At 43.2% G+C, this 14286-nt stretch overlaps 1 protein-coding gene across 36 annotated transcripts in view, besides 2 other annotated features; it reads right to left on the bottom strand.

The window, feature by feature from the left end:
• Positions 1-14286, bottom strand: part of CDC14B (cell division cycle 14B) — a 128905-nt gene that overhangs the window by 19107 nt on the left and 95512 nt on the right. For 26 of the 36 annotated variants that reach the window (XR_007061367.1, XR_007061366.1, XR_929864.4 and 23 more), the window contains 3 exons: positions 13542-13680; positions 13216-13375; positions 12461-12558 (listed from right to left, as the gene is read on the bottom strand). Coding sequence is in view for 30 of the 36 variants with exons in the window: in XM_047423999.1 (XP_047279955.1) it covers positions 12461-12558; positions 13216-13375; positions 13542-13680 (397 nt within the window). In the remaining 6 variants the exon portion in view is untranslated. Of the gene's footprint in view, positions 1-4170; positions 4325-4389; positions 4905-5603; positions 5748-12460; positions 12559-13215; positions 13376-13541; positions 13681-14286 lie in introns of those variants that run through there. The other 10 variants (NM_001351567.3, XM_017015245.2, XM_011519151.4 and 7 more) reach the window with 4 other exon arrangements.
• Positions 1488-1987: an enhancer, noted in NCBI's record as "H3K4me1 hESC enhancer chr9:99273815-99274314 (GRCh37/hg19 assembly coordinates)". NCBI's record gives its function as "activates a minimal SCP1, AML or CMV promoter by ChIP-STARR-seq in naive H9 embryonic stem cells {active_cell/tissue: H9 hESC(naive)}" and the evidence as "EXISTENCE:reporter gene assay evidence [ECO:0000049][PMID:30033119]".
• Positions 12358-13557: an enhancer, noted in NCBI's record as "BRD4-independent group 4 enhancer chr9:99284685-99285884 (GRCh37/hg19 assembly coordinates)". NCBI's record gives its function as "activates an origin of replication core promoter dependent on BRD2, P300/CBP, MED14 and CDK7 cofactors, and independent of BRD4, by STARR-seq in HCT116 cells {active_cell/tissue: HCT116}" and the evidence as "EXISTENCE:reporter gene assay evidence [ECO:0000049][PMID:35650434]".

Below are 14286 nucleotides of genomic sequence, written 5' to 3' on the forward strand. Positions count from 1 at the left end.
TAAGCAATTCCCACACCAAAGAAATCCACCAGCTAAAGAAATCTTTGTGCCCAACAAAAGTAGAAGTAGCTTCTCAGACTTTCAGTCATGAAACAAGACACCATTAAGAGCTCAAATTCTAAAGAATAGGAACATAAATTTAGGAAATAACTATACAATATTCACTCTTCAAAGCTGTAAGTATGGGTAATAATCCACTAAATCAATACTAATTTTATATAACGTTTCAAAATTTTAGAAAGTGTTTAAGCAAAATATGAGTTTTGCCTGAATTATATATAACACTTACTAAATCTCCAAGTGCCACTAAAATGAAAGTGAAAACACTTAAATTTTGTAAAGCTTGCCTTAATTAAACTCTAAAAAGCTTGAGAAACTGGTGCATATGAGAGTAGGCTGCCCAGGAGGAAGCACACGATGAATCAGAAAAGAACATCCTGAGATAAAGGCCACACGGAATGTCCTTTAAGAGGCAGATGGTCCTTTGGTTTTTTTTTTTCTTTCCTCTTTAAATTGTTATAGGGAAAACAGCAGAAGACATCAAAAGATTTTATATGCAATTCTTTTTTTTTTTTTTTGAGATGGAGTCTTGCTCTGTCGCCCAGGCTGGAGTGCAGTGGCGTGATCTCGACTCACTGCAACCTCTGCCTCCCAGGTTCAAGCGATCCTCCTGCCTCAGCCTCCTGAGTAGCTGGGACCGCAGGCGCCCACCACCTCACCTGGTTAATTTTTGTATTTTTAGTAGAGATGAGGCTTTGCCATGTTGGCCAAGCTGGTCTCGAACTCCTGATCTCAGGTGATTCGCCCACCTCACTTACTCCCAAAGTGCTGGGATTACAGGTGTGAGCCACCACACCAGGCCTATATGCAATTCTTTTCTTCAAGAGATAATCAATGACAAACTAAACACATATACACACATTTATAGATACCAACTTTTAATTCTCTGAAAGAGAAAATACTGACTTAACAAGCTTTCTTCTCTCCTATTCAAACATAAAGGTGAGAAAGCCAATAACAACTTATGAGAACCCAGCTCAAAGGAGTAAAAAGTTGAACCATTACAATTAGTGAGCATCCCACCTCACGGGCCTCAGCTACCACCATGCTGGCTAATATACCAAAGACAGGGCCTTAAAATAGGCTAAGATTAATAAATTTCTACAACCTTAGCATGACCCAAACCAAAGCATATCCAACATTTAGTAAAATGCTAAACATCTCATCACTAAAAAAGCAACAAGAGGCTGGGCACGGTGGCTCACACCTGTAATCCTAGCACTTTGAGAGGCCGAGGTGGTTGGATCACGAGGTCAGGAGTTCAAGAGCAGCCTGGCCAAGATGGTGAAACCCCGTCTCTACTAAAAATACAAAAATTAGCCGAGTGTGGTGGCAGGTGCCTATAATCCCAACTACTCAGGTGGCTGAGGCAGGAGAACTGCTTGAACCTGGGCAGCAGAGGTTGTAGTGAGCCGAGATCGTGCCACTGCACTCCAGCCTGGGCCAAAGAGCGAGACTCCGCAACCAGAGCATAACCTGGAGCTTGTCTGGGCCAGCGGTCCCAAGCCTTCTGGGGAGAAGGGGATGGGCAGCTTTCCCCACTATTTCACTTTACTCATGCAGGATTTCTGAGGGCCCCATGAAACTAGCTTTCTGTCTCACAGAGGGACATGAATCCTGGATAAATCAGCCAATGTTTGGTTCAGAAATTCTCCTAGAGTGTGATCATCTGATATGTTGAATGTTCTAACAAAATAGAAAAAGGAGGTGGTTGCGGTGGCTTATGCCTGTAATTCCAGCACTTTGGGAGACCAAGGCAGGAGGATCACTTGAGGCCAAAATTTCGAGACCAGCCTGGACATTTTAAGCAATTCCCACACCAAAGAAATCCACCAGCCAAACAAGTCTTTATGCCCAAAAGTAAAAGTAGCTTCTCAGATTTTCAGTCATGAAACAAGACACCATTAAGAAGCCCAAATTCTAAAATATAGTGAGACATCCTCTCTATAAAATAATAATAATAATTAGCCGGGCGTGGTGGGGCGTGCCTTGGTTCCAGCTACTTGGGAGGTTGAGGTAGGAGGATCACTTGAGCCTGGGAGGTCAAGACTGCAGTGAGCCATGTTTGTGTCACCGATCTCCAGCCAGGTGATAGAGACTTTGTATAAAAAAAAAAAAGAAGAGTGTATATGCATCTTAATTGTATGATTAAAGACAACTATTACCCTGGCTTGTGAATTCTACTTCTAAAAACAAGGAATTGTTTTTAAAATTTTTTTTCTTTTTTTTTTTTTTTTTAAGAGACAGGGTCTCACTCTGTTGCCCAGGCTGGAGTGCAGTGGCGCAATCATAGCAGCCTCAAATCCTGGGCTCAATTGATCCTCCTACCTCAGCCTCCAGAGTAGTTGGGACCACAGGTACATGCCACCACACCCAGCTAATTTTTTCATTTTTTATTTTATAGAGATGGGGTCTCGCTATGTTGCCCAGGCTATTCTCAAAATTCTGGCCTCAGTGATTCTCTTTCCTCGACCTTCCAAAGTGTTGGGATTTATAGGCATGAGCCAGTCTGCCCATCCCTAAAAATTATTTGTTTATATAAAGTGATGGGGAAATATTTATTCATCTCTGCTAAGAATTTGAATATAGAATTTTGCATAAAACCAAACAAAACAAAACAAACTGCTGCTGCTTCATTGCTACTTCTGAAGCCCAGGCCGGGGCACTCGTGCTGCCACTGTTCTCATCCGCTCCCCTCGGCCACTCCCTTACGCACGGAGAAAACAAGACTCCTGTTGGCTTTTTTTTTTTAAATACAACACCTAATTCTCAAATAATTTGAGGCCACGGTTGGCCAAAAGTACAGACAACAATCACACTGCAAAATAATTAATCTGAGAAAAAAACAAGAGCTGATACACTGCCTGCTTAGGAAATCTGAATCCTGATTTCTCAAATTAAAACTATGACTGAAGTGTTTAAATGCCATTCAAAACAAGACACTACTGCTAAATCCTGTAGTCATTCTCAGGCTGCTGGAAAACATCTTTTTAAAAGTATTTATTTCTCTATAAAATTAGTGTAAATTAAAGTGAACTAATATAATAATAATATTAAATAGCTAGTAATTTCTGTGGAACTTTAAAACCAAGAGAATGATAGAACTTGAGTGTATTAACCACACCACGGAAGACTCCAGTTATTTGCACTGACAACACGGTATTTATCCTAACTGCAGGTTATGCACTGATGAAATCGGGGTTGGGGGAGAACTCCACTGAGCTATCATGAGTGACAGCACACACCACCTGACAGGCACCAGAGGGTGACGTGTTGCCTCTGTCACAGGGAACCCGGGCACTCGCGGCCTTCTGCCTTCCAACCCAGGCCAAGCATGGCTTTGCAGAGCAGTGTGCAGCAGATGTATTTTCTTCCTTCCCATCTGCCCTGACAAAATCCTCCATCCTACCTACCTCTTGCCTATATTCCAGTTCACCTTCTTCTCTGCAGCATCCTTGGAGCCTCGGTACTCTGAGATTTCAGATATAGTGAAATCTGCAACCCAAGGAACACGGCAAAGCCAAAAACTAAAAAGCCAGGTCTCGAACATAAATGTCCAATTCCAAGAAAAAAATCCATCAGGGCAACTATGCACTATGTATACTGGCTGTCCACTCCGGACACCACAAGAGCGTGCACAAAGGTGACCCTGAGGCCCTGCAGCCTCCAGAGAAGGCTTTCCCACTATCTCTGAGTCTGACTCAGAAGCCTGAAGTGTTGTTATGGCCTAATTCTCCAGGCATGCTGCATAACAGGAGCTTTTCACTGGAAACAACTTAGCAGACGATGCCACACCACCTGCGTCCACTGCCAGCAGAGGTGGGTGGTGATGACAGAGGATGGTGGAGCTCAGGAGTCACCACCTTACAAATAAAACCCTTTTGAGAGAAAGACATGGGGGTGCTACAAAGATGATACTGATTAACACCACTGTAACTGTCACAAGCTTTTTGCTTCTCAAAATTCCAAATAATTAGTCAGGCTGAACTGAATACTCTGCTTGGGTCTAGAAATACAATGGCAAACGTCATTACCAATAACAACAGAAGGTATAGTTTACATGGAATACTGAAAAGAAGAGAGCCTGATAGAGACCATGTTTAAACTTACCCTGGGAATGATCATTCAACCACAAAGTGCCTAAGCATTATTTGCAACTGCTCCACCCATTCAGAACATCTTTGCCACTTGGAACAGTTTGAGAAGAATAACTCTATGTAGTGCATGATGCTCTTGAGTCAGAATATGTGGCAATCGTAGTTGACTAAGAGAAGTAAAGAAGAAAACACCCAAAAGGTTAATCTATCTCAGAAATACAGCAGGTCTGAATGCGCGACAATAAGCTTTTATTTGTAAGATATTCAAGAAAATGCCATAAATAGGAGCAAGTTAAGCAGGTTTTGCCTAATTCTGAAGAGTGAAATCAGCTTGATTTTTAAATCTTTCTCAGCTATGTGAAAATACTCAGTGAAACCACAAAGTACCAGAGTTGGTTGCAATGGAATTTTTCTTTGGAAGAGATCTTGCAAGGAACTTTTGCATTCTTTCATAACTTCCAAGTCCAAGAGGAGACAAGAGAAGAAATTCTTAAAATATGAGTTAAGGAAAAAGCTTCAGAGAAGGAAGAACGCAGCTCAGACACAGAAGGGTGGCGGTGGACCCCGTGACACGGACACACCCGCCTTCTGGGGGTCTTCAACATGCTGTTCCACAAGTGGGCCTCTTGTACATTCTTCTGCAGAAATAAAGCCTCTTCGCTGTTAAGGTCTTCATTTCAAAGATGAAAGATCTCAAGAGAATACAGATTTGCTGCTATTAGCCTATTAAAGGCATTCTGGCTATGTCTGGGCAAGGAGAAAAGCAGGAACAATGACCATCATATGGAAATGCACCAATTTAAACAGGCGACCTCAGCTCCGACCTCCTACTTTCATTTAGCATCAAGTGCTACACACTGTACTTACTGTATTCCCTAAAGGGGAGGAGGAAAATGAGACAGAGCAGGAAATTCTGCACACTAAAGAGAGAAGACTTATGAGAGAGCTGCTGTACAATGGCAGATTTCGAGGCTACAAAATCACATATTTAATGAAAGTAGATCAGTGGGAAAAATGCTTCTTTGCTAGACTGGGAAGGACATACTCAAGATACAGAAAACTAGAGGGAAATTGTATAGCCAACTGACGAAAATAAAACCACCCCAATTATCCTAAGCTAACTACTTTTGATAGGGAAGAAAAACTGTTTCAGTGAAGAAAAACTGTTTCAGTGTCTTTATCAACTGCTATTTTGAAATATGTTAAGGATAAGCATAACTTTAAAACAACGTATGTTACTTTCAATATCCTTTCTATGAGAGGAACAGTGAAGCCCACCTTCCCTCCCCACCACCATCCCATTAATTGAAAAGATTCAGAAAAAGAACCTTTGAAAATAGGCAAACCAACAAAGCTAGGAGCTGACAAGGAGAAAAACATGCATTGTGGGAACCACACTAGGCACCAGAAGTAAGCAACGGCAGAGAAACAGAACGGGACACTTACAGCAGCTATCTGTCAGGGGGTCCTGATGGCTACTGTGTTCTGAAACCATCGAGACAGAATAGCAGGATGGGAAGAATGTAGTCACAAACAATCCACCAGATGACAACACTACACAGTGCAGAGGTCAGCACAGCTAGGGGACATCTGGAAAGGGGTGAAGGGGAAAGAACAGATGTTCAAATTGGGAAGCCAAAATAAATTACGCAATCATCAATCAATCAAGCCATATGTGAATTTTAGACACCCTAAAAGCCCAGCCAACAGCAACAGGGATACAAAGGGGTGGTCAACAAGGATGGAGTTTTGCCATTTTATGTTGAATAAAAAAATGCTGTGTTTAAACAGGTTTCATACTTTGGGACTCAGTCACTAGTGAGATAACTACCCCATGTTAATTTAACTTTATGATACTGAAATCAGTCACAGATAAATGATTGAGGTTCTTCAAAAAGCAGAAGATGTGCACACACAGAAAACTAAAGCAAACCACAAGGGGCAAAGGAGGCAAAACCAGATAACCAAAAACAAACAAACAAAAAAACACAAAACCCCAGACTAGTTAACAAAATCACAGGAGGCACAACTAAAAATGAACGTAATACAGCAGAACTGATCTCACTTCAAGGGAGTTACTAACTCCTGAGCCATCCAGGAAGCTAAGGGAATGGCACATTTTTATAATATGGTTCACATTTAACCCAGGGCAACACAAAATGAGCAAAATTTCACTTAGGTATGCATACTATAGACTTTTCTTAGTTGTTTTCCACACTCATTTTCCTCATACTAGTTGGCTTTCAGCTTGGTGTTTCTTTCTTATTTTTTATTTTTTAATTATTATAATTTTTTGAGATGGAGTCTTGCTCTGTCACCCAGCCCGGAGTGCAATGGCGTGATTTTGGCTCACTGCAACCTCCGCTTCCCAGGTTCAAACAATTCTCCCACTGCAGCCTCCTGAGTAGTTGGGATTAGAGGCGCACATCACCACGCCCGGCTAAGTACTGTATTTTTAATACAGGGTTTCACCACGTTGGCCAGGCTGGTCTCAAACTCCTGATCTCAGGTGATCCGCCTGCCTCAGCATCCCAAAATGCTGGGATTATAGGCGTGAGCCATCGCACCTGAGCTCTATTTTATTATTTATTTATTTAATTTTTTTTGAGATGGAGTTTCACTCTTGTCGCCCAGGCTGGAGTGCAGTGGTGTGATCTCGGCTCACTGCAACCTCCCCCTCCCGGGTTCAAGCAATTCTGCCTCAGCCTCCCAAGCAACTGGGATTACAGGCATGTGCCACCATGCCCAGCTAATTTTGCATTTTTAGTACAGATGGGGTTTCTCCATGTTGGTTAGGCTGGTCTTGAACTCCTGACCTCACCCTGCCTCTTTTTTATTTTTAAGAAACAGGGGTCGGCCGGGCGCAGTGGCTCATGCCTGTAATCCCAGCACTTTGGGAGGCTGAGGCAGGTGGATCACCTGAGGTCAGGAGTTCGAGACCAGCCTGGCCAACATGGTGAAACCCCGTCTCTACTAAAAAAATACAAAAATTAGCCAGACGTGGTGGCATATGCCTGTAATCCCAGCTACTCGGGAAGTTGGGGCAGGAGAATTGCTTGAGCTCGGGAGGCGGAGGTTGCAGTGAGCCGAGATCATGCCACTGCACTCTAGCCTGGCCGACAGAGCGAGACTCTGTCTCAAAAAATAAAAAAAATAAAAAAAAATAAAGGCCGGGCGTGGTGGCTCACACCTGTAATCCCAGCACTTTGGGAGGCTGAGGCGGGCGGATCACGAGGTCAGGAGATCAAGACCATCCTGGCTAACATGGTGAAACCCCGTCTCTACTAAAAATACAAAAAATTAGCCGGGCGTGGTGGCAGGCACCACGCTACTCGGGAGGCTGAGGCAGGAGAATGGCATGAACCTGGGAGGTGGAGCTTGCAGTGAGCCAAGATTGCGCCACTGCACTCCAGCCTGGGCGACAGAGCAAGACTCCGTCTCAAAAAAAAAAAAAAAAAAAAAGAAGAAGAAAGAAAGAAAGAAACAGGGGTCTTGCTCTGTTGCCCAGGCTGGAGTGCAGTGGCGTTATCATAGTTCACTGTAACCTCCAACTCCTAGGCACAAGCAATCCTCCCACATCAGCCTCCTGAGTAGCAGCTGAGACTGCCTGTTCATGCCACCATGCCCAGTTTTTTTTTTTTATTTTTTTTGTAGAGACAGAATCTCACTATGTTGGCCAGGCTGGTCTCGAACTCCTGGGCTCAAGTGATCCTGCTGCCTTGAACTCCCAAAGCACTGGGATTACAGGCATGAGCCACTGTGTCCAGCCTCAGCTTGGTGTTTCTTAATCCATTGGTCTGGGTTCTAGCAGTGAGGAAGGAAACCTCCTCCCATTTGGAAGGGCAGAAGCTCTTTCCAATGACTATACTTCCAAATGGTCACCTGGATACATCTGTGACCAAATATTAGAGCCTCTACTGAGCATCTGCTGTGTGCAGAGTACTGCTAATCAATTTGGAAATGGCTGATTTGGCTTATCATGTCATTTTTATTGTTGACCTCATCACTGTCATCATTAAAAATTACATGTCAGGCCAGGCGCAGTGGCTCACGCCTGTAATCCCAGCACTTTAGGAGGCTGAGGCGGGCAGATCACGAGGTCAGGAGTTTGAGACCAGCCTGGCCAACACGGTGAAACCCCATCTCTACTAAAAATACAAAAATTAGCGAGGCGTGGTGGCGTGTGCCTGTATTCCCAGCTACTCAGGAGGCTGAGGCAGGAGAATCACTTGAACCCATAAGGTGGAGGTTGCAGTGAGCCAAGATTACGCCACTGTACCCCAGCCTGGGTGACAAAGCAAGACTCTGTCTCGGGGAAAAAGAAATTACATGCCAGGCATCCTATATTGTGGAAAGGGATTAGACTAAAGGGTGAACTCGAAATACAGCCTAACCTTACCCCACAAGTTATACCCACACCATCTTATTTAATCTTCCCACAAAAAAAACAAGCTACTAATATACATAAAGATCACAGGGGTGAATATTTAAATGGAATGAATAAATGGTCTGGGAGCCCTAGAGAACTCTCTACCGATCCCAGCCTTCACCTTCAGTTCCTTAAAGGCAGAATGGCCCGAATGTCCAAGTGTCAGCATTATAGATGGTTACTTTTTCCTCTAGTAAACCTCATGGCTTAAGAATTATTTTCCGGCCGGGTGCAGTGGCTCACACCTGTAATCCCAGCACTTTGGGAGGCCAAGGTGGGCAGATCACGAGGTCAGGAGATCGAGACCATCCTGGCTAACACAGTGAAACCCTGTCTCTACTAAAAATACAAAAATTTAGCCGGGCGTGGTGGTGGGCGCCTGTATTCCCAGCTACTTGGGAGGCTGAGGCAGGAGAATGGCATGATCCCAGGAGGCGGAGCTTGCAGTGAGCCGAGATCGCACCACTTTACTCCAGCCTGGGCGACAGGGCGATACTCTGTCTCAAAAATAAAAATAAAAAATAAAAATAAAAAAAGAATTATTTTCCATTGCTAACAGATATACTCATCTCCAAACCTACCAAAACCATCAGTATGCAGAACGACAGGCCTCATGGCTCAAGTTATGCAATCTACCAAATCCATTTTAGCACAGACAATATACTTGTCATCACGTCCTGAAGATCAGCTCAATGTCATGGTGCCACATGGTTTCCTGTCATCATTGTAGTCAGGATCAGACAGGCTGAGCAAATGGCCATTTTATAATCACTAAAAACTTAAACTCTCCCCCAAAACTGACCATTTATAAAAGAGAAACCGGCCAGGCGCCGGTGGTTCATGCCTGTAATCCTAGCACTTTGGGAGGCTGAGGTGGGTGTACCACTTGAGGTCAGGATTTCGAGACCAGCCTGGCCAACATGGTGAAACCTTGTCTCTACTAAAAATACAAAAAATTAGCTGGGTGTGGTGGTGCATAATCCCAGATACTCCGGAGGCTCAGGCAGCAGAATCACTTGAACCTGGGAGGCAGAGGTTGCAGTGAGCCGAGGGCACACCATTGCACTCCAGCCCGGCCAACAGAGCAAGACTCTGTCTTAAAAAAAAAAAAAAAAAAAAAAAGAGAAACCAATCATTGGAATAATATTTTATGTACTATAACCTTCTCCTAAGAATCACTAGTACTTGTGTATTTCTCACTAACTTTCCTTCTTGCATGTACTGTATTTTCATAAGGCTAAGTGCCAATGCTAAAGCAAAATAACTTGCTCACAGAAATCAATGAGTCAAACTTGGATGAAGAAATTGATTTTGTATTTTTCAACCCAAGCAACTGTTGAGAACAGTCCCTCAGGGACTTCTATTCCTAAAATAACAACATAGACACAAGAGGGAAAGAAAGAAAATCTTCAATTGATCTTTTCTAGGGCCAAAAAACTGCAAATAATAGCAGAGAGGGTTTGAAAAAGCAGAGACGGGGATAAGCAAAATGTTGTAAGGGAGGAGGAAGGAGATTTGCTGAGACTCATCAAAAATCCCCTCGGGTCTATACACATAACTCAGAGCTTAGAAAAACTAGCATTTCGCTTTCTTCTTTAAAAGTGTGGCCTAAAACTTTGTTATTTGTGTTATGTGGGGCTATTTATATATATTGTTTTTGGGATATTACCAAAAGGAATCCTGAGCTACCTCTTTGTTTTTTAACTTTTACCATTGTACTTGATTTTACTTATTTATTTAGACAGGGTCTCACTCTGTCACCCAGGCTGGATGCAGTGATCATGGCTCACTGCAGCCTCAGACTCCTGGGCTCAAGTAGTCCTGTTGCCTCAGCCTCCCGCATAGCCTGGTCTACAGGTGCGCACAGCCACGCCCAGCTAGATTTGAACTCACGTTAATGAGAGTAGCAGATTCAGAGGGTGACTAAAGGAAATTTCCTATTTAACAAAAACTTTTGACTAAGCAGGATTTGTATCCCCTGACTCTCAACTTGACTTTTGAACAGCAGGCAACAAAATATTAAAACATAAACTGATGATGCTGATTCTGAAAAACAAAACAAAAAATCCCAGACACAGCTAAAATCAACCCACAAAAGCATCAGTTTCCTAGGGCTTGCAATTCAATGTGTGGTCCCTGGACCAGCAGCCTCGGATAGAAATGTGAACTCTTGGGCCCCACCCCCACCCCACCAATCATAACCCATATTTCAACAAGCGCCCGGGTGCCTCCTGCACACTGAAGTCTGAGAAGCACTGCTCGAGGGTGCTGCCTGCCTCCTCCACCACATCCAGAATTAGTATCTGGATGATTACCTGGAGCCACCATAATACTTCCAAAGAAAAACCATTAAGGCCTTAGGTGAAGACTTTTAATAAGGAAATTAAAAACAAAATGGCATTTGGAGTTAAGTAAATTATACAAAGGCACTATTTTTGTTTGTTTGTTTGTTTTTTGAGATAGAGTCTCACTCTGTCACCCAGGCTGGAGTGCAATGGCACGATCTCGGCTCAATGCAATCTCTGCCTCCCGGGTTCAAGCGATCCTCCTGCCTCACCCTCCCGAGTAGCTGGGATCCTATAATGCCTACAGCTCCCACCATCATGCCCGGCTAGTTTTTGTATTTTTGTAGAGACGGGGTTTCACCATATTGGCCAGGCTGGTCTTGAACTCCTGACCTCAGGTGATCTGCCCACCTTGGCCTCCCAAAGTGCTGGGATTACAGGCATGAGCCACCACACCTGGCCAAAAGGCACCATTTTTAAAAAAGTATAGTTGACTAAAGTACCACTAAGTTGCAAAAGAAATGCTTAATAAATGCCTATAATCAAAATGGATGCCCTACATTCATTCACATAACACTGCATATTGTAAAACTCAATTCTTTGCCTTGGGTCTTTTAAGAAGAACCTCCCAGGGGAGCAACCCATAATGACACATGCCTTAGGTGTAATTCTACTTCAGAATTTTTATGACGAGACACTAGTGAGGAATTACTTTTAATTGAAAAGAAAACCTGTTCTCTGCCAATATAAATGGTATATTATATCATACTTCCTTACCATATTACAAGATGCTTACTGAATAAATGATCTATGTCCATCACACTCCCTCCCCGCAAAAAAGAAGGCTGGAAATCTGGTGTCCCACAATGAAAAAGGAAGTAACTAGAAGGAAGAAATCCAATGGCAACAAGTGGGAGCATTTACTAAAGAACAGCCTACAAAAAATACCATGGTCATGTACTTTGCTTCTGCATATTTTTCTAACAATCTTGGATGCTCCATCAGGTTGAATCCCAACTAACACACATTCACAAGAATGTACACATAGACATACATACACTCAGTACTACAACATTTCCTATTCTCAGGCTAAATCTTCCTCTATAATTAGAAAATCATTCCCCAAAGAAACAAACGAAAAACCCAAAATATAGTTTAGACCAGTTCATTGTTGCCCCAAAACAACATAATGTCATTAAGCCATCATGTCATGCTTATCAAAACAAATGATCTGCAACATGGCAAATGTAAAGAAATACACCACTTTAGTAACTATGGACAAGTCTGGCATCCTGGGCTTTACATCTGCTGTCGCGCTCCTGAGGATGCCCCATGCTGATTATTCATGGAGAAAAAGTATCCCTGATGTCGCCTTCCCACCCATAAAGGCTCATGAGGACCAAGGTAAACAAGGGACAGCTGAGAGCTTCCAAGGCCAGCACCCCTAGGTTTTAAATAACATAGGCAAGCATTTCAAAGTGGCATCATGGGCTTGCAACTATGGAGAAAAATGTACAGGAAAAACCCTCACCAAGGACCCCACACACATATGAAGAAACATCAACCACAACAAAGGAACCCAGACTCACGTGAGAGGAATAGCGTTTGTTTTGGATTGTCTTCTGCTTTTCAAGGCCCGAAGTCTATCACCTTGTGTCACTCCATTGATTTCGTCATCATCACTGTACTGTGTAAGTAAAAAAACACTGAGCTAATGATTTAAGTTGCACTTATTAATGCAGTACAGCAGAGCAGCAATTTATCCACATGAACACAGTCCAAGTTTCTGCAAGCTCTAGAATATTTTTCCCTTTCACAATCAAGCTTCAGGTGACATTTTAAGACAGCCAAAGTTGACTTTCAGAGACAACACAGCAGCACTCTTGTTAGAAAACACATCAACAGTGAAGAGGGTTAATGGGCTTTCAAGTTTGAAAACGCTCTTTTTAAAATCTCAGTGTACTTACTACCACTTAATGTAGTAGTACTGCTACCCCCTAAGCCTTTGATTTGTTAAAAGCTCTCTATTTGAGAATGATTGCTTTCCTAAATCAGCTGTTGTGAAATGGCAAAAAGGGGTGAGGGGCAGGGGTAGATCTGGCTGAAGAGCTCACTTCACAACCTTTTATGCACCTGCTGAGTAAGTAAAACATAGTTTTATGGACACACAACCTTGTTTCCACTATTTTGGGTAAAAAGTGCCTAGAGAGGGTTATAAATATAAAAAACTGACAATCATCCAAGAGCTGCTTTATTATTTTACCTACGGTTTTCTCCATACCCTGACAGGTTCTCAATAGCAGTTAAAGCAGTAACAACATCGCAACAGAAACGGCTTGATTACCGGTTCGGGTTCTTGCTGATCTTGATTCTCGACCCCATTTATGGAAATGTCATCAACGCCAGAGAGAAGTTTGGAGAAGGCTGCTCTGTGTTGTCCATTCTCCTGCCCCTTTAACTTCTGACGAAAATAGTCCCCTTCCAGCCAGAGGTTGGTTTGCTTCCTAGAGCATTTAAATAACATCAAAATAGAGCTTTCCAGAAAGATACATGAACAACTTCTTCCTACCAGATTATCTGTTGTTGTTGGAAACTAAAGGAAATTCCACTCCCCATCAGATTCCAACCCCACATGTTCCCTGGGAACTACAGACGTAGGCTACTACTTACATCACCAAAAACTGCTGCTGAGGCCCAATCACCGAGCCAGGTCTGCAGATCCTGACCCACGCAATGGTCTCGGCTGCTGTCATCCTGTAATGCTTCATGATGTAGCAGGCTATCAGAGTGCCCGTGCGACCAAGGCCAGCTAGGAAAATAAAGAAGCACAGAAATGAAACTTGGGCTGATGTACTCCAGGATTTTGTTGGGCAGGCAGAATTTTTTTAAAAGGCTTCTCATGACTCTGCTTCTTTCAATAGTGGTTCTCAAGGCTGGTTACACTCTGGAATCACCTAGAGAGGTTTTTAAATACTGATGCCCGGTCTCACATCCGGAATGTATTTATTATTTGTTTCATTTATCTATTTATTTTTGAGACGGAGTCTCACTCTGTTGCCCAGCAGGCTGGAGTGCAATGATGCAATCTCAGCTCACTGCAACCTTCACCTCCTGGGCTCAAGCAATTCTCCTACCTCAGCCTCCCAAGTAGCTGGGATTTACAGCCATGTGCCACCACAGCCGGCTAATGTCTGTATTTTCAGTAGAGACGGGGCTTCACCATGTTGGCCAAGCTGGTCTCAAACTCACCTCACCTCAGGTGATCCGCCTGCCTTGGCCTCCTAAAATGCTGGTATTATACACTTGAGCCACCACGCCTGGCCTTACGCCAAGAATTTAGATTTAACTGGTATGCAGCATAGCTTGGACACAGAGATTCCTAAAATCTTCCAGATGATTCTATGTGTAGCCGAGG

Source organism: Homo sapiens, chromosome 9 (assembly GCF_000001405.40).
Source record: "Homo sapiens chromosome 9, GRCh38.p14 Primary Assembly".
NCBI classification, from domain to species: domain Eukaryota; kingdom Metazoa; phylum Chordata; class Mammalia; order Primates; family Hominidae; genus Homo; species Homo sapiens.